Below are 2525 nucleotides of genomic sequence, written 5' to 3' on the forward strand. Positions count from 1 at the left end.
GGGTGTAATCCAGTAGGTGGCACTTAGGTTATTGGTCAGTTGGTAGGCTCTTGTTCAGTTGTGTGGCTCCGTTATGTTTTCTCATAGTTGCAGCCATGTTTCTTCTCAGTGCTCTGAAAGTGTGTGTTCCCCCGCTCCCCCATTGAGTGTCGCCTGTAGATCATGGCTTGGCACTCCCGGGCTGCTCACTGCAGCTCAGGGGCAATCTCAGTGTTTATGTTCCTCCTCAACTTGGAGGCAACAAAGAAAGGGACCTTAGGTGGCTGTGGCCAAGGGTCTTCGGTTTGTCTCCTTGGGGCTAACCCCACAGAGAAGCAGGTTAGCAATCACTCAGTGAAATCAGCTCAGGATGGAAAGTCCATGCCATGGGCCCAAGCCAGGGGCTCTGTGTGGTGATGAGTAGTGGGGGGTGGGGGCCTTGTGGGAGATGGGCTGGCTTTCTCACCTTGGGTCAACTGCAGCTTATTGGAGGTGTGGATAAGGCACTAAGGGTCTTTGCTCCTTTGTTAGTCCAAGGGTAGAAAGGCAGAGGCAGTGGGTGAGAGGCTTTCAGTTGCCCCTGGAGGCTCTGTCCGGGGAGTTACTGAACTGCTACTGGCTTGATAGCTTTGGCAGTGGGTGGCTGGATGCTCAGGCCCGGAGGACCTGCCTAGTGAGGAGATATGGGACCAGGCCTTTATGTATAAGCCTGGCCGCTTTTCCGTAGGGCTGCTGTAGTGTGCTGGTGGCCTGCTGTAGTCACTAGCTGCTTCAGATTTTTCAGTACCTGGAGGTATCACAAGTGAAGTCTGTGAAGCAGCAAAGATGGTGCCAACACCTTCCTCTGGGAGCTCTATCCCAGGGAGGTTTGAAACCTCTGTCAGCCAGAGAACACCATCAGGGCTAGCTGGAGACCCTGGTTGGAAGATTCCACCAGGTGATGAGGAATGGGTTTGGGGACCTGCTCAAAAAAGCAATATGAAGTGGCCATATTTCAAATCCATATGAAAAATAAGTAAATCCCCACTTCACACCATTCAGGAAAAGAAGACTAGATACATTAAATACTTATATATGAAAAATAAAACTTAGAAATTATTAGAAGAAAATAAACAATTAAAAACCTAGCATTAAAATTACTTTTATACCGCTTGTATTAGTCTGTTTTCACACTGCTGATAAAGACATACCTGAGACTGGGAAATCTGCAAAAGAAAGGACTTAACTGGACTTACAGTTCCAAGTGGTTGGGGAAGCCTCATAAACATGGTGGAAGGCAAGGAGGAGTAAGTCCTGTCTTACATGGATAGCACCAGGCAAAGAGAGAATGAGGAAGACACAAAATGGAAACCCCTGATAAAACCATCAGATCTTGTGATACTTATTCACTACCATGAGAACAGGATGGGGGAAACCACCCCCATGATTCAGTCATCTCCCACTGGGTCCCTCCCACAACACATGGGAATTATAGGAGTATAATTCAAGATGAGATATGGGTGGTGACACAGCAAAACCATAGCACCCCTGAACCAAAAGATAACATAAAATTGGAAGACAAGCATACAGTGGGAGAAGATTCTGTGCCACATATGAGATAAAGAATTAATAAGAGTATATAATTGTCTCATATAAGCCACTATACTATTTTCTCCACTTATCTGTGTGTGTGTGTATATATATATATATATATATATATGATATGTATATAGATACATAAATTTTTTCAGCTTTTAACAAAGAAAAAATAGAACCTGCAGAATAAATATTGAACTATTTCCTATCTCACATGTTTAATTTTGAGAAATGTGCTGTTTTACAAACAGCTTTACTGAAGCAAGGGGTAAGGTTTCAATAGGATTATTTTCAAAAGGACAAAAAGTACCAAAGTCAGGGCCTTTCAGCAGTTCATGTGGTTCTGTGTACTCAGGTTATTTGTAGAAAGGTATCATGAGGTAGAGAAAAAATATATAAGCTATTAAAAGAAAATAATGTGAATTCAAAAACTGTTCTACTTCTTATTTAGCTGTGTAATATTGGGCAAACATCTTAACTTCTCTGAACCTCTGTCCTATATTTTTAAAGTAGAGACAATGGTACATAATTTACCTGTTTGTTATAGTTGGTATGTTAATTACATAATATGCCTGGTGCAGAATTTAAAGAATATTCACTTGTTTTTCTTCCTATAATACTCATTCTTTTCAATAAACTATCTTTTGATTTTATTTTAAGATTTCAATGAGTTATTTTTATTCCTTTAATATATTTTTTAAATTTTGTATCTTCTTAATTTGAGACTGGCAAGAATCCGTTTTGATAGTGATTCTTTGGGGATTGTAGAAAGAATGAAAGATCCACAATTACAACCAGCTTGTCTTTCCTCACAAAAGTTCATCAAAGTTTATGTGCTCAAATTTATACCTATAAAAACCAAAATAACTTTTTTCTAAAACCAGAATGCAAAATATTAACCTGGATCAACACAGCTACAACTTCATGCCAGTTACATTACATAGTTTACTGAAGCTAGACTATTCATTTTA

This window comes from Homo sapiens, chromosome 2, assembly GCF_000001405.40.
Source record: "Homo sapiens chromosome 2, GRCh38.p14 Primary Assembly".
In the NCBI taxonomy this organism is placed as follows: Eukaryota; Metazoa; Chordata; class Mammalia; order Primates; family Hominidae; genus Homo; species Homo sapiens.